This window comes from Homo sapiens, chromosome 2, assembly GCF_000001405.40.
Source record: "Homo sapiens chromosome 2, GRCh38.p14 Primary Assembly".
Lineage (NCBI taxonomy): Eukaryota > Metazoa > Chordata > Mammalia > Primates > Hominidae > Homo > Homo sapiens.
Genome location: NC_000002.12, coordinates 48645905 through 48671905, shown reverse-complemented (window position 1 = coordinate 48671905; position 26001 = coordinate 48645905). Strand labels below are relative to the sequence as shown.

General features: G+C 35.4%; 2 protein-coding genes across 5 annotated transcripts in view; both read right to left on the bottom strand.

The window, feature by feature from the left end:
- The window catches only part of STON1-GTF2A1L (STON1-GTF2A1L readthrough), a 246595-nt gene that overhangs the window by 104614 nt on the left and 115980 nt on the right, over positions 1–26001 (bottom strand). For all 3 annotated transcript variants that reach the window (NM_001198593.2, NM_172311.3, NM_001198594.1), the window contains 3 exons: positions 24864–25453; positions 1924–2184; positions 226–315 (listed from right to left, as the gene is read on the bottom strand). In NM_001198593.2, the coding sequence (NP_001185522.1) occupies positions 226–315; positions 1924–2184; positions 24864–25453 (941 nt within the window). The remainder of the gene's footprint in view (positions 1–225; positions 316–1923; positions 2185–24863; positions 25454–26001) is intronic.
- GTF2A1L (general transcription factor IIA subunit 1 like) overlaps positions 1–26001 on the bottom strand; it is a 61749-nt gene that overhangs the window by 7699 nt on the left and 28049 nt on the right. For both annotated transcript variants that reach the window (NM_006872.5, NM_001193487.3), the window contains 3 exons: positions 24864–25453; positions 1924–2184; positions 226–315 (listed from right to left, as the gene is read on the bottom strand). In NM_006872.5, the coding sequence (NP_006863.2) occupies positions 226–315; positions 1924–2184; positions 24864–25453 (941 nt within the window). The remainder of the gene's footprint in view (positions 1–225; positions 316–1923; positions 2185–24863; positions 25454–26001) is intronic.

Below are 26001 nucleotides of genomic sequence, written 5' to 3'. Positions count from 1 at the left end.
TTCAATAAGATCATTACTTCCTTAAGGACTGTCACTTTTTCTGGTATCACTGAGATCACATAGCACAGCGCTAGACCCAAAATACACACTCAGAATTTCCAGAATTAAACTGCTGTTTTGATTAATTGTGAAGTGTAACTCTTCATCTTATTTCCCATCATTTTACATACCTTTCTACTATAAATGCAGTTAATAAACCCAAAGTCCAAAAGGTAAATACAGTACCTTATCATACTGACAGACAATAACATTATCCGTGTCAAACAGGTCTGGCACATCCTGTTCACTAACATCATCTCCAGAATTTAAAGGGTCCTAAAGACGAAAGATGATCACATTAAGGAATTTTATGATGCTTTAAATTGTTTAAAGATAAAGAGACATATAGAAATAAAGGAACTTGTCTCGGCGTGGTGGCTCATTCCTATAATCCCAGCACTACGGGAGGCCTAGGCAGGCAGATTGCTTGAGGCCAGGAGTTCAAGACTTACTTGGGCAACATGGTGAAATCCCATCTCTACTGAAAATACAAAAAATTAACTTGGCATGGTGGCACACACCTGTAATCCCAGCTACTTGGGAGAGTAAGGCAGGAGAATCATCTGAACCCAGTAAGTTGAGGCTGCAGTGAGCTGTGATCACACCACTGCACTCAAGCCTGAGCGACAGAGCGAGACTCCATCTCAAAAACCAAACCAAAACAAAACAAAGAAATAAAGGAACCTAGAGCAGCAGAATATAATTGTACTAAAAGTCAAATAGCCTGGGTTTAAATCCCTGTTTGAGCCGGGTGCAGTGGTTCATGCTTGTAATCCCAGCACTTTGAAAGGCCAAGGCAGGAGAATCACTTGAGGCCAGGAGTTCGAGACCAGCTTGGCCAGCATGGTGAAACCCCATCTCTACTAAAAATATAAATATTAGCTGGGCATGGTGGTGTGCCTGTAATCCTAGCTACTCAGGAGGCTGAGGCATAAGAATCATTTGAACCCAGGAAGCAGAGGTTGCAGTGAGTCAAGATCACACCACTGCACTCCAGCCTGGGCAACAGAGCAAGACCCTGTCTCAAAAATAAATAAATAAATAAATCCCGTTTGGCCATTTAATAATTACAAGACTGACCTTAGGCAAGTTACTAAAACTCTCCATATCTCAGTTTCCTCATATCTAAAATCAGGATAGCAGTAAGAACCACAGGACTTTGGGACTATTAAGATAAGGCATTTAAGACTTAATATGATGCCTGGCACATATATAAGGCTGCCATAAATTATAGCTAATACTACTTACACACTTTTTAATAAGCACACTCTACCTGGATTTTATGACATTTACTAGAATTAGAGCAGATACTATATGTTTCTACCTAGGCTGCCTTCTTTAACAGCCACTCCCATTGCCTAGATCACCTACTACCTCTAGTTAAGACCAATACAGAAGCCCATTCCCAAATATTTATTATTGGTTTTAAATTACAGTTGAAGATTAAAAGTTTAAATCCAAGCATATAATAAGTCTTTTTTTTTTTTAAAGAGTCTTGCTCTGTCACCCAGGCTGGAATACAGTGGCATTTCTTGGTTCACTACAACCTGTCTCCTGCAATGCTTTTGCCTCAGTCTCCTGAGTAGCTGGGTTTACAGGCATGTGCCACCATGCCCTGCTAATTTTTGTTTTATTAGTAAAGACAGGGTTTCACCATGTTGGCCCAAGCTGGCCTCGAACTCCAAACCTCAAATGATCCACCTGCCTCAGCCTCCTGAAGTGCTGGGATTACATGTGTGAGCCACCGTGCCCGGCCCCAAATAAGTCTTATTTCAAAAGAGTAAAGAAAAGATTAATCTTGCTATTCCTTTTGGTTCCAAGGCATAATAAAGTAGAAATGTTATAAATTAATAAAGGAAGTCTCAGCTCAAAAGTCATCCTCACCTCTTCTACAATGTTTACTTGAGGGTCTTCATTATCACTACTGTTTGTGGCTGAATCCTCATTTGAAATACTGTCAGCTTCTTCTTCAGGTACCTTCAGATCTCCCCCGTCAATATTCCCTAGAAATTCATTCTCATCTGCATCTCTTGTACTTCCTATTTCTTCATTGGAAGATGTATCACCGCTTCCATCTACTTGAATTATTTCACCAATATCATCATCAGTAACCCGAATGCTTAAATCCACCTGAGAATTAGAATCCTAAAAAGAGAAAGAAATACAATAAAGTTCAAGTCAAATAAGGTATATAAAATATTGAATCCAAATTTAAAATTAACAAACATTCCACAAATGGTCAGTTCAAGCAAACTTCTCTCTTATGACATTAAAATCTAACTTTGAATTTTAGAATAAGCCTAGCATTTCTATGTAACATAGGAATAATTTTTTAAATTATAAATAAAGTAACCCACTTACAATCACAGGGAGACAGCAAATGAGTTTATTACTTTCAGGTAATATTTACCAGTTTTTATACATACCGTCTTAAATTTATATAGTACCTATTAGGATTTAACTATTTCATTTGACTTTAAACAGTAATTCAATGAAATAGAAAAGACAAATGTCATTGTGCTTAATGGATAAATAAAAATGTAAAGGATTACACTAAGTGAAATAAGCCAAACACAGAAGGACAAATCTTACATGATTCCACTTATATGAGGCACCTAGAATAGGCAAATTCATAGAAACAGAAAGTAAAATCGAGGTTACTAGGGGATATGAAGAGGGGAATGAAAAGTTATTGTTTAATGAGTACAGAGTTTCTGTTTGAGAAGATGAAAAAGTACTGGAAATACAGAGTGGGGATGGTTGTACAACATTGTGAATGTACTTAGTACCACTGAAATGTACACCTAAAAATGGGTAAAATGGCAAATTTTTATGTTATAGATAATTCAGCACAACAAAAGTAAAAAATATATAAAGGAAATTTAGTAATCACCTCTGGTCACGTAGATGGTTATTATTTTATCATTACCTTCATCCAGCACAGCTAACAAATAAACCCCTCTGCTAAGTATTTTATAGGCATTTTCTAATTTATTTGTGTATTTATTTATTTATTTATTTATTTATTTTTTGAGGCGGGGTCTCGCTCTGTCGCCCAGGCTGGAGTGCAGTGGCGCGTTCTCGGCTCACTGCAAGCTCTGCCTCCCGGGTTCACAGCATTCTCCCGCCTCAGCCTCCCAAGTAGCTGGGACTACAGGTGCCCGCAACCATGCCCGGCTAATTTTATTTTTGTATTTTTAGTAGAGACAGGGTTCCACCGTGTTAGCCAGGATGATGTAGATCTGCTGACCTCGTGATCCGCCCGCCTCGGCCTCCCAAAGTGCTGAGATTACAGGCGTAAGTCACTGCGCTTCACTCTTCAGTGTAGGCTTCTATATTGGTCATACAATACTACCCACCCCAACCCATTAGTTTGTCATAGACAGGACAAAGATCAATAAAATGTCAAGCTCCTTAAGATCAGGGGCTGTTTTATATGATTATATATGCTTCAGAATCTATAGCAGTAGTTCTTAACCTCTTTGGAAAAGTAAGAGGCCCCTTGAAAACTTGGTGAAAGCTCCAGATGCTATAATGCTGGTTGTTTTGGAAATCCATACATAATGTTGACACACATATTACATAAGCAACAGGTTACATTAGCTTTAAGACTGGAATATAGAAATGTAGCCCAAGCAAATGGAAAGGATGACTTTCCATCCTTTACAATCAGAAATATAAAGGTTATAGTAAGTGAAATAAGGCAAACACAGGACAAATATTATATGATTCCACTTATATGAGGTACCTAGAACAGGCAAATTCATAAAAACAGACAGTAAAATCAAGGTTACCAGGGGCTATGAAGAGGGGAATGAAGAGTGATACAGCACCCAAAAAGCCTTCATCGTATCAGCCTGGAAAGTCTTGGGAATTTGCAGAGTCAAGAAGGCTCCTAACAGAAGCCAAGAAGTTTTACTAAGGTTTGAACAGATGCCCTTTATTCATATTTCTTCTGAGTTTGCAAGTCATGGGTGATGTTTAATACAATAATACACATCTCAATAACTTAAGATACAACTTTAATAATATGCATATACTCAACTTATTTTTTGAGTGGACAACTGCCCTTCTAGGATTCAAACCCATATGAATATTACCAATAATGAACCCTCAAAAAAGTATACCCAACAAATAATACTGTGTAGAAAAATTCAAATTGACTAAAATTATGTAAGTTTACATGTAATTAATTTTTACTACATTGGAAACAGATTTGCTTCACAGATGAAATATAAGGAATATCACATGTATGCAAAAATTAATGGCTATGTGCTCAAAAATGAAAATAAGTCCAAATTACATAAATAAGATAAATTTGTATTCTGTTACGAATAAATTAGAGAAATCTTAGAGGGCCCACAGCCCATAATGTAAAAGCTGAAAAGAATGCCACTACCATACTAACAATGAACAAAAGCTGGATAAATTACAAAATCACAACTTTTCTTGAAGCAGCCTGAAATCCAAGGAGGGACAGCCCTTACAGATGGGACATACAAACATATCTCTCTATAAGAAGAGTAATGTCCATTCCCAACTATAAATACTATTTACTTCAGTCTCTCTTTATATATAAGATGTCTGACATTCAATCAAAATTAATGAGGCTGGGCATGGCCACTCATGCCTGTAATCCCAGCACTTTGGGACACTGAAGCTGGCAGATTGCTTGAGCCCAGAAGTTCAGGACTAGTCTTGGAAACATAGCAAGATCCCATCTCTACAAAAAATACAAAAAAAAAAAAAAATTAGCTGGGAGTGGTGGTGCATGCTGAAGAGGTGGAGGCAGGAAGATCACCTGAGCCCAGGGAGGTTGAGGCTGCAGTGAGCTGTGATTGCACCACAGCACTCCAGCCTAAGTGACAGAGTGAGACTCTTCTCAAAAATAATAATACAAACTAAAAGCAACAAAAACCAACCATCACACTGCAAAGCAATCAAGAGAACCAGACTCAGAGACAGTTAGAAATGTCAAACTATGATTGATACACCAAATAATTTAGGGAAAAAAGTGGAAAAAAATCCATGAACAAATAAAGAATTTCAGCACAGATAACAAGTTTGGGGAGTTAGGAAAATAAAGAAAAAAGAAAAACAAGAATTTTAGCACAAAATTCTAACAATAAAAACCACAATATGAGAGTAAAAATTTCATGTGAAGGGGTCATCAGTAGATGTGACACAGCAAAAAAGAATCAAAAGCATTCAGGAAAACAGAAAAAAGGAAGAACACAAACACACACACACACAAACACACACACACACACACACACACACACCCTGACAAGTTGATTAATAACTATATTGAATATAAATGGCCTAAACATCTCATTTAAAAGATAGAGATTATCATACTGGGTTAAATTAGCAAGACCCAACCATATGGTGTCTATCTGGCAGGCCGAGGTGGGCAGATCACAAGGTCAGGAGTTCAAGACCAGTCTGGTCAATATGGTGAAACCCCATCTCTACTAAAAATGTTTTTTAAAAATTAGCTGGGCGTGGTGGCACATGCCTGTAATCCCAGCTCTTCAGGAGGCTGAGGCAGGTGAAATGCTTGAACCTGGAAGGCAGAGGTTGCAGTGAGCTGAGATCGCGCCACTGCACTCCAGCCTGGGTGACAGAGCGAGACACCATCTCAAAAAAAAAAAAGAAAGAAAGAAAGAAACTCACTTTAAATACAATGACACAGGTAAGTTAAAAGTAAATGAACAGAAAAAACACATACCATGCAAACACTAATCAAAATAAACCTGAAACTGCTATATTAATATCAGAAAATGTTAACTTCAGAACCAGAAATATTATCAGAGATAAATAAAAAACATTAAATATAATAAAGGGATCGATTGAAGATGACAATCCTAAATACTTATATACCTACAAACATAGCTTCAAAACTAAACTAAAAAGTAATAAAAATAAAAAATAGACAAATCTAAAATTACAGGTGAAGACTTAAAATTCCTCTCTCAGTAGTCAATAGAAAAAGTGGACTGAAATTCAGTAAAGATATGGAAACCCTGGACAATGCAATCAACCAACTTAACCTAATTAATATATAGAGAATACCCCACCCAAAAATAGCCAAATAGCTTCAAGAGCACATATCATGTTTGCCAAGATAAACCATATTCTGAAACATAAAACAAACCCTAACAAATTTAAAATATATAAAGTATATTCTCTGACCACAAAAGAATTACACTAGAAACCAGTAACAGAAAGATATCTGGAAAATCCCCCAAATATTTAAAAATTAAACAACACAATTATAAATACCCAATGGTCAAAGACTAAATCATAAGATAAATTAGAAAATAATTTTAATTGAATGCAAATGAAAACATAATGTCCAAACTTTTGAGATGTACCCAAAGCAGTGCCTAGAGGGAAATTTACAGCATTAAATTATTATATCAGAAAATAAGTACGTCTCAAATCAATAGCATAATATCCCACCTTAAGAAACTAGAAAAAGAAGGCCAAAATAAGTCCAAAGTAAACAGGAGGAAGGAAATAATGAAAATTTTAAAAGGGAAAAAAAGTGAAATTAAAAACCAAAAAAAAAAAAAAAGAGAGAGAGAAATCAGTAAGGTCAAAAGTCCATTCTTTGAAATTATCAATAAAATTGAAAAACCTGGCCAGGCAGGGTGGCTCGCACCCGTAATCCCAGCACTTTAGGAGGCCAAGGCAGGCGGATCACTTGAGGCCAAGAGTTGGAGACCAGCCTGACTAACATGGTGAAACCCATTCTCTACTAAAAATACAAAAATTAGTCAGGTGTGGTGGCACACACCTGTAATCCCAGCTAGTCGGGAGGCTGAGGCACGAGAATCACGTGAACCCAGGAGGTGCTGGTTGCAGTGAGCCGAGATCATACCACCTGAACTCCAGCCCGAGCAACAGAGTGAGCCTCTGTCTCAATAAATAAACAAATAAATAAATAGAAAAACCTCTAGCACGACAGACAGAGAGAGAAAGAGAGAGAGACAGACAGAAGACACAAGCAAACAGTATTAAGAATTAAAGAAGGGATGTTACATAGATCCTAGAGGCATTAAAATAATATATTATCAACTTTCAATAAATTTTACAACTTAAGTAAAATGGATAAATCCATTGCAAGAAATTACCAAAATTTACTCAAGAAGAAACAGATAACCTAAAGAGACGTATCAGTTAAAGAAATTTAATTCCATTAAAAACCTTCCCACAAGGAAAAATTCTAAATTCAGAAAGCTAAAAACTCTATCAGAAAACAGAAGAGATACAGATACATAGCAATTCATTCTATGAAACTAATATTACCCTAATACCCAGCACAAAATAACAAAACTACAGACCAGTACTCCTCATGAACATAGAAGCAAAAATCCACAACGAAATCTTAGCAAATTGAATCCAGCAATATATAAAATGAAAGCTGAACATTCAAAAATCAATCAGTGTATCTCACCATATCAAAACATGAAAGAAGGAAACCCATTTATTTCAATAGAGGGGAAAATTGTTTAAACATCAACTCATGATTTAAAAAAAAAAAAACTACATTAAAGAAAACTGTTTCCATCTGATAAAGGATATCTACAAAAAAAAATTAAAACCATACAGCTAACATAGCACTTGGTGAAAGATAGAATGCTTTCCCCTTAAAATCAGGAACAAGATTTCTGCTCTTGGCACTCTTATTTAATTTTGTACTGGAAGTCCTAGTCAGTGCAATAAGCCAAGAAAAAAAAACACTCTGGGAAGAAATATTTTTTTTTATTCATCAAAATAGATTATAGTCTACATAAAGCAACCCCAAATGGTCTACAAAACAACTACTAAAATTATTAAGTGGGTTTAACGAGGTCACAGGATATTAGGTCAATTTACAAAATTCAACTGCATATCTATATAGTAGCAATAAACAATTAGAAATTGAAATTTAAAAACAATACCTTTAGACCAGGTGTGGTGGCTTATGCCTGTAATCTCAGCACTTTGGGAGGACAAGACAAAAGGATCGCTTGAGTTCAGGAGTTCAAGACCAACCTTATCTCTACTAAAAATTAGCCAGGTATGGTTGTGTGTGCCTACAGTCCCAGCTACTCAGGAGGCTGAGGCAGGAGAATCACTTGAGCCTGGGAGATCAGGGCTGCAGTGAGCTATGACCTGCCACTGCACTCCAGCCTGAGCAATACAGCAAGACCCTGTCTCAAAATATAAAAATAAAAAAAATTTTTAAATGTTTATTATATAGCATTTTATGTTTTAAATTATTTTCAAAAAATACATTTTTACATTAGAGATCTCAAAATGGGAAAATAACAGTGCTTTACACTTTAATACTTCTAGGGACATTGTTTTAGGACAAGTAAAATAAACATATTTGAAGGATTAAGTTTCAGTTTTGATTGATTGAGATTGATTCAGATTGATTGAGATAGGGTCTCACTCTGTTGCCCCGGCTTAAATGCAGTGGTCCAATCTCAGTTTACTGCAGCCTTGACCTCCTGGGCTCAAGCGATCCTCCCACCTCATCCTCCCGAGAAGCTGGAACTACAAGAGGGCACCACCATGGCCAGCTAATTTTTTTGTATTTTTTATATTGATGGGGTTTTGCAATGTTGCCTAGGCTGGTCTTGAACTCCTGAACTCAAGCAATCCTCCTTCCTCAGCCTCCCAAAGTACTGGGATTACAGGTATGAGCCACTGTTTCCAGCCAAGTTTCAGTTTAGAATGCGTAATATTTTAATCTATCTACAAGGGAGACCTCTTTCCTAAATAAACCTCTCTCTTTTTTTCACTTTTACTTTAAGTTCAGGGGTATATGTACAGGTTTGTTATGTAGGTAAACTATGTGTCACGGGGGTTTAGTTTACAGATAATTTCATCACCCAGGTAATAAGCATAGTACTCAGCAGGTATTTTTTTCTGATCGTCTCCCTCCTCCTACACTCCACCCTCAATTATTCCCGTGTTCATTGTTCCCCTCCTAGTATCCACGTGTTCTTGTTGTTTAGCTCCCACTTATAAGTGAGAACATGTGGTAGTTGGAAATAAATTTAAAAAATATATACCTTTAAAGCATCAAGAGAAAAGCAACGCATCTATGTACAAGGAATCCCCAGTAAGTGTTTTGGCAGATTCCTCAGCCGAAGTTTGAAGACCACAAGGCAGTGGGATGATATATTTAAAGTGTTAAAAAAAAAAAAAAAAAAAAGATCAACCAAGATTTCTGTATCTGGCAAAATTATCTTTCAACAATAAGGGAGGGAATTCCTTCCAGTCTCTCTCTGCCGCTGCAAAACCCAGCTAGAGTAGTTCCTATTGCCATGGATCCCCTTGAATAAACTCTGCCTTACCATCCTTTAAAAAATGAAAGATAAATTAAGACATTCCTAGATAAAAACCAAGGGAATTCATTATAGTTAGATTTTCCCTACAAGAAATATTAAAAGGAGTCCTTTAAGTTAAAATGAATAGATGCTAGATAGTAACTTGAAGCTACACAAAATGTAAAATTATCTGGTAAAGTTAAATACATGGACAAATACATAAATCAGTGTTAACATAATTTTAGTTTATAATTGATTTTATTCTTCTACATCATTTAAAAGACAAAAGCATTAAAAAACTATGTTAATGTGTAAATAAAATATGAAGAAGTAATCTGTAACAACAATAAGACAAAGTAGGGGAGGGCAAAGTTGTAAACGAGTAAACTTTTTGTATGTGATTGAATTTAAGTGACTATCTGATTAAAACAGGTTATTATAAGCCTAAAATATTATATGTAATACCCGTGGTAACCACAAAGAAAATATCTATAGAATGTACACAAAGGAAATGAGAAGGGAAACCAAAAATCAATTAAACACAAAGGAAGGTAATAAAGGAGGAAATCACAGAAAACCTAAATACATATAGAAAACAGCAAAACGGCAAGAGTTAGTTCTTTCCGATCAGTAATTACTCTAAACGCAAATGAATTAAACTCCCCAATCAAAAGACATAGTTTAGAAGAATGGATAAAAAACAAGATCCAACTATATGCTCTCTATAAGAGACTAAAGATCCAGGATATGAATAGGTTGGAAGGGAAAAGATGGAAAAATAAATTCCATGCAAATGATAACCAATAGAGCTGCAGTGGCTATGTTACCACCAGAAAAAAAATGGATTTTAGGTCAAAAACTGTTATTTAAAAAGGAAAAAATAATTTTTAATCACATAATGATAAAATAATCAATATACCAAGACGATATAACAATTATAAATACATGTGCACCAAACATCAGAGCCCCCAGATATATGCAACAGGCCAGGTGCAGTGGCTCATGCTTGTAATCCCAGCACTTTGGTAAGCTGAGGCAGGCAGATTACTTGAGGTCAGGAGTTCGAGATCAGCCTGGCCAATATGGTGAAACCCCGTCTCTACTAAAAGTACAAAAATTAGCCAGGAGTGGTGGTGGGCACCTATAATCCCGGCTACTCAGGAGGCTGAGGCAGGAGAATCACCTGACCCAAAGGCAAAGGTTGCAGTGAGCGGAGATTGTGCCACTCTACTCCATCCTGGGCAACAGAGTGAAACTGTCTCAAAAAAAAAAAAAAAAAAAAAAAAAAAAGTTTGGGGATGCAGTGAAAACAATGGGGAGGGACATGTATAAGTGCTTACATTTTAAAAGAGCAATCTCAAATTAACAGTTTAACTTTACATCTTAAAAAACTATAAAGGAGAGAACAAATCAAAACTAAAGCTAGCAGAATGAAATAAATAATAATGTTAGAGAAAAAGAAAACACAGAATGAGAAACAATGGAGAAAAATCAACAAAACCAAGAGTTGCTTCTTCAAAAAGATCAATAAAATTGATAAACCTTTATAACTAGACTGATAAGAAGAAGAGAAGACTCAACTAAAATTATCAATGAGGGTCGGCCATGGTGTCTCACACCTGTAATCACAACACTCTGAGAGGCCGAGGCAGGTGGATCACTTGAGGCCAGGAGTTAGAGACCAGCCTGGCCAGCATGGCAAAACCCCAACTCTACTAAAAATACAAAAATTAGCCGGGCATAGTAGAGCACACCTGCAATCCCAGCTTCTCAGGCGGCTGAGGCACAAGAATCATTTGAACTCAGGAGGCAGAGGTTGCAGTGAGCCAAGATCACACACCACCGCACTTCAGCCTGGGCGACAGAGACTCTGTTTCAATAATAATAATAATAAAATAAAATTATAAATAAAAGAGGGGACATCATTAATAATTTTACAGAAATATAAAGAACTTTAAGAGAAAACTATGAACACTTACACCACAACAAATCAGATAATCTATTTTAAAAATTAACAAAGTCCTAGAAATACGCAATCTAGACTGAACCAGAAAGCAATAGAAAATCTTAATAAGTATATTAACTGGAAAGTAGACTGAATAAGTAATCAAAACCCTACCTACAAAGAAAAATCCAGAACCAAATGTCTTCACTAGAAAATTATACCAAACATTTAAAGATGAATACCAATCATCCTCAAACTCTTCCAAAAAATGGAAGAACAAAATATCTCCAAACTTATTTTATGAGGCCAGCATTACCCTGATACCAAAGACAAAGACAAAACATAAAAATTACAGACCAATACTTCTGATGAATATTCATGCAAAAATCCTCAACAAAATACTGGCAAATAGATATAATAGCACATTACAGGAATCCTACACCATGGCCAAATGAGATTTAATCCTGGGATGCAAGGATAGTTCAAGATAAAAAAAAAATCATACTGAATGGTAAACCCCTGAAATCTCTAAGATTAGAAAGAAGGAAAGGACAACTACTTTCACCACTTCTAATCAACACAGTACTAAAAGTGCTAGCTAGGATGATTAGGCAAGTAAAAGAAATAAAAGACATCAAAATTAGGAAAAACTAAAATTATCTCTGTTTACAGATGTTATGCCTTTATATGTAGAAAATTCTAAAGTTTCCATACACACAGACACACAAAAACAAACTGTTAGGAAAAATAAATAAATTCCACAATGTTAAAGAATACAAAATCAACACACCAAAATCAGCTGCATTTCAACAAATAATTAAAAACTCAAAAAGAAAATTAGGAAAATAATTTCATTTTCAATAGCACCAAAAAGAATAGGTTATTTAGGAACAAACAGAACCACAGAGGCAAAAGACTTGTATATGCTGAAAACAACAAAAATTGCTGAAAGAAAATAAAGACAAAAATCAATGGAAAGACACCCCAAGTTCATGGATTCAAAAATTAATAAGGTTAAGATGTGAATATTATCCAAAGCCATCTAAAGAGCCAACACAATCTCTATCAAAAACCCAACAAGAGTGTTTGCAGAAAAAGAAAAAAATCTATCCAAAAATTCAAATCTCAAGGAATGCCAAATAGCCAAAACAATCTTGAAAAAGAAGAATCAAATTGAAAGTCTTAAATTTCTTGATTTCAAAACATACTACAAAATTACAATAATAAAAATAGTGTGATATTGGGATTATGTAAAGCAATCAAATATATGAATTACTGGCATTCTTGAAAGAGAAAAACTAAACAACCTAGAAAACATATTTGATGGAATAATTCAAGAACATTTCCCTAATCTTGCTAGAAAGGTAGACATCCAAATACAAGAAATTGAGAGAACACCTTCAAGACACTATACAAAATCAACATTATCAAGGTGTATAGTTACCAGACTATGGAAGGACACTGCTAATATATATATAAAGGCAACTAGAGAAAAAAGTCAAGTCATGTACAAAGGGAAACCCATCAGATTAACAGCAGACTTCTCAGCAGAAACCTTACCAGCCAGGAGAGATTGTAGGCCTATTTCTAGCATCTTAAAGGAAAGAAATTCCAACCAACAATTTCATATCCCACCAAACTAAGCTTCATAAGTTAAGGAGATATAAGAGCTTTTTCATACAAGCAAGCACTAGCTAGATTAACAAAGAAAAACAGAGAGAAGATCCAAATAAGCACAATAAAAAAGACAAAGGTGACATTACAACCAATCCCACAAAAATACAAAAGATCCTCAGAGACTATTATAAACACATCTATGCACACAAACTAGAAAATCTAGAGGAAATGAATAAATTCCTGAAAGCAATCTCCCAAGAATGAAACAGAAAGAAATTGAAACTCTAAACAGACCAATACCTAATTATGAAATTGAATCAATAATAAAAAACTTACCAGCCAAAAAAAATCCCTAGACCATTCTAAAATTAATGTGGAACCAACAAGGAGCCTGAACAGCCAAAACAATCACAGACAAAAAGAACAAAGCTGGAGGCATCACATTACCTAACTTCAACCCATATTATAAGGCTACAGTAACCAAAGCAGCATAGCACTGGTACAAAAACAGACACATAGACCAATGGAACAGAATAGAGAACTTAGAAATAAAGCCATGCATCTAAAGCCATCTGATCTTTGACAAAGTCAACAAAAATAAGCAATGGGGAAAGGACTCCCTATTCAATAAATGGTGATGGGATAGCTGGCTAGCCATATGCAGAAGAATGAAACTGGACTCCTACCTTTCACCATATACAAAACTTAACTCAAGATGGATTGAAGATTTAAATGTAAGATCTCAAACTATAAACAATCCTAGAAAAAACTTGAGAAACACCATTCTGGACATCAGCCTTGGGAAATAATTTATAACTAATTATTCAAAAGCTATTGCAACAAAAACAATAATTGACAAGTGAGACCTAATTAAACTAAAGAGGTTCTGCACAGCAAAAGAAACTATCAACAGAGTGAACAATCTACAGAATTAGAGAAAATATTCACAAACTGTGCATCTGACAAAGTTGTAGTATCCAGAATTTATAAGAAACTTAAACAATTCAACAAGCAAAAATCAAATGACCACGTTAAAAAGTAGGCAAATGATATGAACAGATACTTCTCAAAAGAAGATATAGAAGCAGCCAACAAACATATGAAAAAATGTTCCACATCACTAATCATCAGAGAAATACAAATCAAAAATGCAATAAGATATCATCTCACACAAGTCAGAATGGATATTATTAAAAAGTCAAAAAAAAAAAACAAGAGATTCCAGCAAGGCTGCAGAGGAAAAGGAATGTTTGTACAATGTTGGTGGGAATGTAAATTAGTTCAGCCACTGTGGAAAGCAGTTTGGAGATTTCTCAAAGAAAATAGAGCTACCGTTCAATCCAGCAATCCCATTACTGGATATATACCCAAAGGAAAAGAAATATTTCTACCAAAAACGTACCTGCACTCTTATGTTTATTGAAGTACTATTCACAATAGCAAAGACATGGAATCAGCCCAGGTGCCCATACATGGTGGACTGAATAAAGAAAATGTGTTACATATAAACCGTGGAATACTATGCAGCCCCAAAAAAAAGAAATCATGTTCTTTGCAGCAACATGCATACTGCCGAAGGCCATCATCCTAAGTGAATTAACACAGGAACAGAAAACCATAAAGAGATGTTCTCACTTACAAATAGGAGCTAAATATTGGGCACATACGGACACCCAGTGGTGGAAATAATAGACATTGGGGACTCCAAAAAGGGAGAAGGGGAAGTGAGGGCAAGGGCTGAAGAACTGTTTTGGGTACTATGCATAGTTCCTGGATGACAGGATCAATCACACCCCAAACCTCAGCATGATGCAATATACCTATGTCACAAACCTTGCACATGTACTCCCTGAATCTTAAATAAAAGCTGAAACGATAAATAATAAAAATTAAAAAATAAAACCAGTGTGTTATTAATGTATAGACAGGTGTATACACCAATAAAATAAAGATCCCAGCAACAAACCGTTACATAAAACGTCAATTTTCCATAAGGGTAACAAGACCATTCAATGTGGAATGGACAGTCTTTTCAACAAATCATTTTGGGAAAACTAGCACCACATTGAAAATAATGGAGTTGAACCCTAAATTTATACCATCTACGAAAATTAACTCAAAATGGATCAAAGAGCTAAAGATAAGAACTAAAACTATAAATCTCTTAGAGGAAAACAGGTGGTGAAAATTTCATGACATTGGATTTGAAAATAATTTATTGGATATGACACCAAAAGCATAGGCAACAAAAGAAAAAAATAGATAAAATGGACTTCACCAAAATCAAAACCTTTTGTGCTCAAAAGACATTATTAACAGAGAGTAAAGGCAACCCATAAAATGGGAGAAAATATTTGCAAATCATACATCTGATAAGAGGTGAATATCCAGGATATATAAAGAACTACAAGTCAACAACAACAGAGCAAACAGTCCAATTTTAAAAAAATGGGCAAAGGACTTGAATAGACTTCTCTACAAAGAATGCATACAAGTGGCCAGAAGAACATAAAACAATGTTCAACATCACTAATTATTAGGGAAATACATATCAAAACTACAAGATACCACTTCAAACCCCTTAGGGTAGCAATTATTAAAAAAAAAAAAAAAAAAAAAAAAAAAAACAGAAAATAAGCGTTGGTGGGGATATGGAGAAATCAGATGCTTGTGCACTACTGTTGAGAATGTAAACTGGTGCAGCCTCTATGGAAACTGTATGGCAGTTCCTAATAAGATTAAAAGTAGAATTGTCATATGATTTTGCAGTTCCATTTCTCCATATATATCCGAAAAAATTAAAGACAGGAATTTGAAGAGATATTTGTACGCCATGTTTACAGCAGCATTATTCACAATAGCCAAAAGCTGGAAGCAACCCAAGTATCCACAGACACTTGAATGAATAAACAAAATGCAGTATATACATACAATGAGATATTATTCACCTTAAAACAAGGAGATAAGTTCTGATACATGCTACAACATGGATGAACCCTGAGATATTACGCTAAATGAAGAAGGGCAAGTACTGTCTGATTCCACTTATATGAGGTAACTAAAGTGGTCAAATTCATAGAGATGGAAAGTAGAATTGTTGTTTGTCAGGGACTGGGAGAGTGAGAAATGGGGAGTTACTGCTTAATGGGCATGGAGTTTGGGAAGATGAAAAATTTCTAGAGATGGGTGGTGGTGATAGCTACACAACAATGTGAATATACTTACTGTCACTAAGCTATACAGTTAAAAATTGTAAAAATAATTTAAAAATAAAATAAATAGTTAATTTTATGTGTACTTTAGCACAGGAGAAAAATTGAATTTTTAAAAATCAGTAGTGATATACTATACTATGTGGCAAAACTGATCAAAGTACTGGTGGCAGGAAAAACTGGCACAACCTCTTTTTAAAATATTGTGGCAATGTACTTCAAATGCCTTAGAAATTTTCAGTTTTTTCTACCTTTTAAAAAATGTATTTTAGGCTGGGCATGGTGGCTCATACGTCTATAATCCCAGCACTTTGGGAAGCCAAAGTGAGACAAGTGCTTGAGGCCAGGCATTTGAGACAAACCTGGATAACACAGTGAGACTCTGTCTGTCTCTACAAACTAATGAATTAACTAATTAAAAATAAAAATATATTTTTAAAAATGCAATGCAAATGAAGCTTAAAAATAAGAATAAAAATGTTCTTGATGGCAGTTTTAGGTACCATTTATAATAGCACCAAAAACCATGAAATATTTAGATAAAAATATAACAGAATATGTATAATATGTATATGCTAAAAACTAGAAAATATTAGTAACAGAAGTCAAAAACCTAAATTAAAAAAAAAACTTATGTCCATGAATTGGAAGACTCAATATTGTGAAGACGTCAATTCCCCTTACTGATCTATAGATTCAACACAAACCCAAATCAGTCTTAGCAATTTTTCTTTTTAGAAATTGACAAGCGCATCCTAATATTTATATGGAAATATAAAGGAATTAGAATAGCCCAAACAATTTGGAAAAAAGAACAAATTTGAGAGATTCACACTCTCTGATTTACTATAAATTTACCATAATCAAGACAGTGTGGTCCTAGCAAAAAGATAGTCACATGAATTAATGAAACAGAGTGAACCTTCAGTAATAAACCAACACAGATGTAGTAATTTTCACTAAAGGTGAAGTGCTTTAGATACATAATGTGCACAGACAGCTAACTCAGTGAGACAAGGCAGTCTTTTTAACAAACAATGCTAAAACAATTGAATATCCATATGTAAAAAAAAATGAGCTATCCAGGCACGGTGGCTCACCCCTGTTTCCCCAGCACTTTGAGAGGCTGAGGCAGGGGGATCACCTGAGGTCAGGAGGTCAAGGCCAGCCTGACCAGTATGGTGAAACCCTGTCTGTACTAAAAATACAAAAAATTAGCCAGGCATGGTGGTGGGCACCTGTAATCCCAGCTTCGCGGGAGACTGAGACAGGAGAATCGCTTGAACCCAGTGAGCTGAGATCATACCACTGTACTCCAGCCTGGGCGACAGAGCGAGACTCTGTCTCCAAAAAAAAAAATGAACCTCCATCCTAACCTTGCACCATATACAAAACTAGCCCAGAATAGATCACAGGCCTAAATGACAAAACTATAACTATACAGTTTTTAGAAGTATTATAAAATCTTTGCAGCCTTTGATAAGACACATGAAGCAGAAGTCAAAATAATATACGGGACTGAAAGTCAAAATAAATAAACTGGAAGATAAAAATAATAAACTGGACTTCATCAAAATTAAAAACTTCTCCTTACCAAAAGATAGTGTTAACTACCAAGGATGTGGTGTACCAACAACAAATCTTATACATTGCTGGTAGAAATGCAAAATTCCACCATACATTGCTGGTGGAAATACAGCCACCTTGGAAATGAGTTTGACTGTTTCTCATAAGCATACGTTTATCATCTTATCTAACAATCCCACTCCTAGGTATTTACACATATAAAATCTACATATAAATGTTTTCGGGGCTGTTTCTTTTTTTTTTTTTTTTTTTTTTTGAGACACAGTCTCACTCTGTCTCCCAGGCCACAGTGCAGTGGCATGATCTCAGCTCACTGGGTTCAAGCTATTCTCTCTCATGCCTCAGCCTCCCAAGTAGCTGGGATTACAGGTGTGTGCCACCATGCCCAGCTAATTTTTGTATTTTTAGTAGAGATGGGGTTTTGCCATGTTGGCCAGGCTGGTCTTGAACTCCTGACCTCAAGTGATCCAACCGCCTCAGTCTCCCAAAGTGCTGGGATCACCCAGTGCCCGGCCCTTTCAGGGGCTTTATTCACAAATACCAAAAACTGGAAACAACCCAAATGTCAAACTGGTAAATAAATGTGGTATAACCATACAATGGAATATACTGATACATGCAACAACATGGATGAATCTCAAATGTATTGTGCTAAAAATGCATGCTGCATGATAGTGTCTAATATTCTGGAAAAGGTAAACCTACCCCAAAAGAAAACAGGTCAGTGAGTGACCGCCAGGAACTGGGGGTTGAAAGAGGGTATTGACTACAAAGGCACATGAGGAAACTGGGAGGTAATGAAAATGTTCTCTATCTCAGGTAGGGTTGTATAACTTCATGTTTGCCAAAATTCATATGGTAAATCTAAAAGCTACCTTTTAAAAGATGAATTTTATTGTATATATATCATGCCTCTTTAAATTTGAGTTATTTTACTTTTTTTTTTTTTTTTTTTTGAGACAGAGTCTGGCTCTGTCACCCAGGCTGGAGTGCAGTGGCGCAATCTCGGGTCACTGCAAGCTCAGCCTCCTGGGTTCATGCCATCCTCCTGCCTCAGCCTCCCGAGTAGCTGGGACTACAGCCGCACGCCAGGCTAATTTTTTGTATTTTTAGTAGAGATGGGGTTTCACCATGTTAGCCAGAATGATCTTGATCTCCTGACCTTGTGATCCACCCGCCTCAGCCTCCCAAAGTGCTGGGATTACAGGCGTGAGCCACCGTGCCCGGCCTAAATTTGAGTTATTTTAAAGTCAATTAGTTCGAGTCCAGCCTGGCCAACACGGTGAAACCCCCGTGTCTACCAAAAATACAAAAACTAGCTGGGCGTGGTGGCATAGGCCTGTAATCCCAGCTACTTGAGACGCTGAGGCAGAAGAATCTCTTGAACCTGGGAGGCAAGGGTTGCAGTGCGCCGAGATCACACCACTGCACTCCAGTCTGGGCGACAGAGCGAGACTCCATCTCAAAAATAAATAAATGATAATAATAATAAAGTCAATTAGTATAAGATTTGTCCTAGGCCTAAACCACATGTTGAAATTGGCTGTTTGTTTGTTGTTTTTGAGATGGGGTCTCGCTCTGTTGCCCAGGCTGGAGTGCAGTGGGACGATCTTGGCTCACTGCAACCTCCGCCTCCCAGGTTCAAGTGATTCTCTTGCCTCAGATCCCGAGTAGCTGGGATTACAGGTGCCTGCCACCACACTCCGCTAATTTTTGTATTTTTAGTAGAGACGAGTTTTCACCACGTTGACCAGGCTGGTCTCGAACTCCTAACCTCAAGTGATCCATCCGCTTTGGCCTCCCAAAGTGCTGGGATTACAGGCAGCAGCCACCATGCCCGGCCTGGCTTTTCATTTTAATAGCAACAAGTACTGAAAACTTTAAGCCACAAGATCTTCTGTTGAAAAATGAATCAGAGCTTCTATGTTACCTTGCCAGACAAGGATAAGCTTATAAAGGAATACTGAAGATTCCAGGACTCTTCTACTTGAATTTACGTAGCCTCATACCATTTTCCTTCAATCAGTGAGGCCCTCTTTACTCTGGGAGAGGATTAAAATTACAAATCTAAACTTAATTTCAAAACAGCAAAAGAGTTATCATTCTCAACTTTTTTCTTCAGAAGCACTTCCACCAGGCATTGAAAAATTCACATGATTATCTGACTCCAATCTCTTCTGAAGTGGTAATTTGACCAAAATAGCCAGGAGTTGTACAGCAACATCCATAACTGATACCACAGGACCATGAAAACAAAGATTTAAGTCTTTCATATAGCCAAACGTCCACCACATAGATCATCAATGAACTCCTCTAGATCAAATTGTTATGAGGGGGCTTTTGCTCCCTCTCAAAAATAGTAAATGTCTCCCCAAGGATCAAACAAGGGCTTCAAGCATTGTCCTTTGAAAAGCCAGAAAAATTCTGCATGAAGAATTTAATATTCTGCCTACATTTTTTGATAAATGTCTTGGGAAACACAATAATTCAAAACCGTGGCTCTAATATATTTGAGTTTTATGTCAGCAGATGAGACTTCTTTTAGAATTATTGGCTGTGTCTTAGCACTAATGCATGCCATGTGCTGAAATAGACAGCAACGCTTTCTTTACTAAAGCAGCAAAACCATGTTTGCCAAGCATCTCAGGAGCTCCAATGGTATAGAGTACCAAATTTTACTAACCAAACTTTTCATTATTACAAAGATGTCAGTTTCCAATTTAAAAAAAAAAAAAAAAAAGAACTCACAACATAAAAATTCTTTGATGGTATCAATGTACAAATAATGATTAAAATCAGATGTTGGCAGCCCTAAGAAACACTGGTATTTTTAGCCTGTTGAATGTTAAAGGAAAGTCGCTGCTGATACATCTATGAATTCCAGCCAAACGTGAAAGAAATGTCAACAATTCTAATGCAGATGATGTCATCTGACAGAGGAAATGCTTCCTTTTTTTTTATTTTCTCTGCACTAAAACAAACCAGCTCAATAATGTCCAATATTCTCAGCTTAACCAAGGTGTCTTTGATTGTATGTGGCTTCTGTGACTGGGTAGTACAATAAGCAAGTAAATAGGATGCTTCATGATAAAGCTTTGTTCGCCAAATCCAGCTTCCAGTCTTTGCAATTTAAGCTTCCCTCCAATGAAAGAACCCTATTTTCCCAATGGCTAGTAAAAATTTGCAGAACTTCATACCCATATGTGGGGATAAATATAAAACAAGATAAGCCTAACCTACAATACACATTCTTTTCACATTTTCAACGTAAACTATATCAAATTCAGTGGTCTATAATTGTAATGGCAGGGCATATTTTCTTTAATTCTTAACAGGAATTTAATTTATTACAATAGAGTAACAATGATAATTATATATTGCCTGACCATGTACAGTAGCATCCCATGCCACTCCACTCTTATTTGGAATGAAATATATCTTAATATATTTTGACAGATATAAAAAATTATTTTGTTAAATTGGCTTTCTTCTTATAATGAAGAAAAAGTCACATATCTGGTTTAAACATCTCTGATTTTGATATATTAATTTCACAATGGCATATAGAGACTCAAAAAGTATTTACTCAATTTAAATGAATTCTAAAGTCAATTATTGATAGGACATTTTATATTTTAGAGGAATATGTGTGGACTTAGAAGAAAAATGAAAACTCTTACTTAGAAGTTATATATTCTCTTATCCTCTCACTCCATTTTTCACTCATACATTGATTTTGAGCTACATCAGTGGTTCTTAGCCTTGACTATATATTACAATCACTCCAGAAGCTCTTAAATATTGATGACTAAGCCTCATTCCAGATCAATTAGATTTAATCTCTTAGGGTAGACCTGCACTTTTTTTTAATGGCCCAATGATTTGATCATTCAGCCAGGATTCAGAACCACTGAGCCAAATAAACGTAATTCTAGATCCTATCCTTAAAAGCTTATACTCCACTACACACGAGTGTGTATATATTCTTAGATTACTGCATATACAAAGATAAATGTAACTGTCAATGCAAAGAGAACATATCAATGTATCTTTGAACTACATTATGACAGACATACTTCAGGTGACAAAACAGAAGAGCTACATCCAATTTAATAATGAAGGAAAAATTAGGTGGAGAAGTACTGAAGATTTCTGGAGGAAGTAATGAATAAGCAGGAATTAACCAGAGGAAAGGATGGTGGGAAGAAACTCCAGGCATCAAATAGAGGGGATAACAAAAAGCAAAAAGAGAAGTAGGAAATAACAAGGTTGAAAACCAAGAATCACTCACGGTTTGGTGTTCCCAGTAAAGTATATTCATGTGAGGAAGGAAGAGTAAATAGGAAACTTTGGCAGAGAAAGAACGCGTAATATGCTTTGTATATGTATATTAAGGTGCCTGAAGTTTATTTATTATAGGTGAAGGGCAGTCGGTGATGTGTTAAGTGGAGAAAAGACACAACCAGGCTGCATTTGGGACAGATCTCTGGAAGCCACCAGGAAGAGAGTGCTAACATGCACTGAGCATTTACCACGGTGCCAGTGTGCTGCTGAGCACTTTACATTAATTTTCTTAACTAATCCTACCACAATTACATGGTAGATACTATTATCTTTATTTTACAAATGAGTAACTTCTCTAAGTCATACAATTATTAAGGAATAGAGAAGGGATTCAAAACAATTCTGATCCCTGAAGCTTAGGCCTTTGACCTCTAGGATGGATGGATTGGCAGGAGCAGAGTAAGAGGTAGAAGAGACTACACACTGATAAATTAGTTAGATAAAATTATCCCACATGAGAAACAATTAGGGCAATGGCACTAGGAGTGGAGATGAAGGAACAGATTCCAGGAATATTTACAAAATTTAAAAATTGTCAAACTCACATGATTCAGCCTTAAAAAGGAATGAAATTCTGACACATGCTACGATATCGACTAACCTTGAAAACATTATACTAAGTGAAATAAGACAGTCACAAAAGGGCAAATATTGTATGATTCCATTTTTAAAGTACCTAGAAGAGTCAAATTCAGACAAAGAAAATAGAACAGAAATTACAAGGGGCAGAATTAAAAGCTATCAAGAATATATTTTGTGAAACAGAATGTTCAAACAACATAGATCCTTACCTCTTAAACCTATAGATCCATAAGCTCTCCAGTAGTTTACAACACAGGAAAAGTAAACAAGTATAGTTGATTATAACTTGCTTTAAGTTACTTATAAAAAGAAAAACTACTTGTAAAGTCTTTGAAAATTAGTTCAGCATAAACCTACCAAACTGCTTACTATCTTAAAGGTAACTTACAATAAATAAATAAGCATTTTACATATACTCTTGTACGTTTGGATTTTGTGTGTTAGACATAGACCTTTTTTAAAACTAACAAACAAGTTACATGAAAAGTTACCCAATATATTACAAGCTCATAGAGCATAATAGCACTAATCTAAAGCTTACTATGGTGCCAGAAGCTTTAAATACTTCATATATATTATCTCTGATAATTCTCAAAATTACAAGATTGGTATTAGGGGCCAATTTAAAGACTAAAATTGAATTTCAGGGAGTAATGTTATATAGTTTGCTTGCAAGTAGTGAACCTAGAATTTGAACCTACTGTGGTTCCAAAGCTTATGTTCTCAACCACTACCCCCAATCAATCCTTGATTAATATCCCTTAACTAATCTATTTCCCCATATCAGAAAAAGTACATGATGACATACAATACATAACAGTAGAATAAGTCCTTGACTCATCACACCAAACATCTGCAAAATTCACACAGAATCCAGGTAAAAAGTGCCTCCAAAAGTAGTAGTGATGAAAACAAACATTTTACATTTGTAGTTAGTTTTACCTCAAAATCAAATGTTTCATACTTATTAGTTTAACCTACATTTATTTACTAAGTGTTATATGTTATGTTAAAAAACGTAAAAAAAACCTCAATAAAACATTTTAATATGAACACTTATAGAAAAACTAAAAACAGATTTGCTCAGAGATCTTGAACAGGTTTCAATAAATATCTGAAACATTCTAAAACAGGCCAAATAGTTTCTGATTGTCATTTTCTTTGTTCCTGGCCTTTCACTATGCCCTATGTCTTTCCCTAACTAGCAAAATTTAAATATCATGAAGATAAAATATTAAGGTTGTGCTTAACTATCCATTGCTACAGATTTGTACAGTGGGTCTAGATGATGGCTAAACCACTAGCTGGAGCAAAAACCTTTAAGTATTTTTCACATGTCCTAAATTGTGTAAATAGAATTAGCCACAAGATGTATTTTATATTTGTAAAAAGAATGCAATTTTTTTAATTTTTATAATCCAAAATTCTCCATGAGTCTTTCTGCCATTACTATGAATTCCTTGAAAATTAAAAATTCAGACCTATTTTCAATATCAAAAGTTAACTAGAAGCTAATTTTTAGTGGTTTCAATACCAAAAGAAATTAAGTAAAACTAGTATTTTAGTAGGCAGGGAGAAACAAAATTACTAGCAACATAATCCCTCATGTAGGGAAAAGTTTCCATATAGGAATTCAGAAAAATTAGGTAGAGCAGGAAAAAAAAAACTTTGTGGGCTTCTTTTGTATATTACATTTGATAATTAATTATCTCAAAACATTCCACAAACTACTGGTCTGGATTTCTGGGTCTTTTAATTTTTATCTGCAGACATAAAATAAGTTTCCCAGTATAAGAGACTGGTAAACAGATTACCTTTTAAAACAAACGCATTTTCTCTGAAGAAGTATTATAATTCATTTATTGAAATGAAAAATTTAGAAATGCTAAGCATGAATATTTCAAGGACTGACAGTTATACTAAAAACAACAATAAAGAAAGAATCTTCTTGGTTGTACCACATGTGAATGTATATAACACTACTGATCTGTACACTTAAAAATGGTTAAGTTGGTAAACTTTATGTTACGTGTATTTTATCACAATTAAAAATTTTTTTAAATCACTAGAAAAAAGAAATAATCTTCTAAAGAAAAAAACAAAATATATATAATTCTGATTAACATTACAGCTTGAAAATATTCAGGATATCCAGTTACTGGCCACTATCTGTCCCCTGATACCAAGAAGTTGGACACAGAACTATACCTTCTCTGATACAGGTATGTTGCTGGGTTCCTCTATATTTCTTGGTTGCTTTACAGAATCACATCCATACATCCTATTTTTAAGAATATGAAGCTGAATATCAGTCACGTGCTGGTGGAGAGCCCCATGAGGGCTTGTGGAGAGGGACTCATCATGCAGATTTTGAGCCATGCTAGCTGAACCACTGAGCACTGACTCCACATTAGAATTTGTTTGAGAGACCTGTGGAGAAAATACAACACCTGGAAGACTGATATAGTGAGAACTTTCCTGATGACACAACAAAGCTTCAGGCACGATTTTATGCTCATTTCCAGGAGATACAAGTATATCACTGGTGGCATTTTCTAAGTGTTTCCTATCTACTGGCCCAGAAGGTAGAATTGCGGGTTGCTGTAGCACGGTTTCAATTCTCTGTGATTTTTCAGTAGTTGCTTGAAGAGACCATGGATTCAATTGTGGAACACTAGTTTGTATTACTGAAGGCTGGCCAAGCTGTTGAAATACTTGCTGAATTGGATGCTGAAGAATACCTGCTCTTCCAGAAGTCTCTGTCACCATAATTGGTACATTGACTTTATAAAGGTGACCTTAAAAAGGAGAAAGCAAAATTGTAAGTATAATAGAATTAAAATTTCCTTTGACAACCACCACAAAAAAAAAAAAAAATCTCATCCACAAAGGCTGGAAAAAAATACACCAATATGTTAATGGTGGTTATCTCTAGGGGTTTTTCTTTTATTCTTCAGACATTTTTGGATTTCTACAATCAATATATAAATTCTTATTTTTTTAATTACATATGTTTTGCTTTAATTCCAGACTTTTCCCACAATTGCTTTTATGGCACACTTTGAGATACATAAAGGACACCAATATTTAATCCATGAACCTCTTCCATTGTTTGATAAATTAATGTTATCAGCCAAAAAACTGGATTTTAACAAACATAATCATGTAAAATATACTTCATATATTTAAAATGCCATATAGCAAGACAATGCTATCCAAAAGAGAGTTTAATGATTTCAAAAGTAATCAAATTTCTTCTCCTTTCTTCCTCTAAAATAACACTATAAAAGAAAAAAAAAAAAAGGCCAGGCGCGGTGGCTCATGCCTGTAATCCCAGCACTTTGGG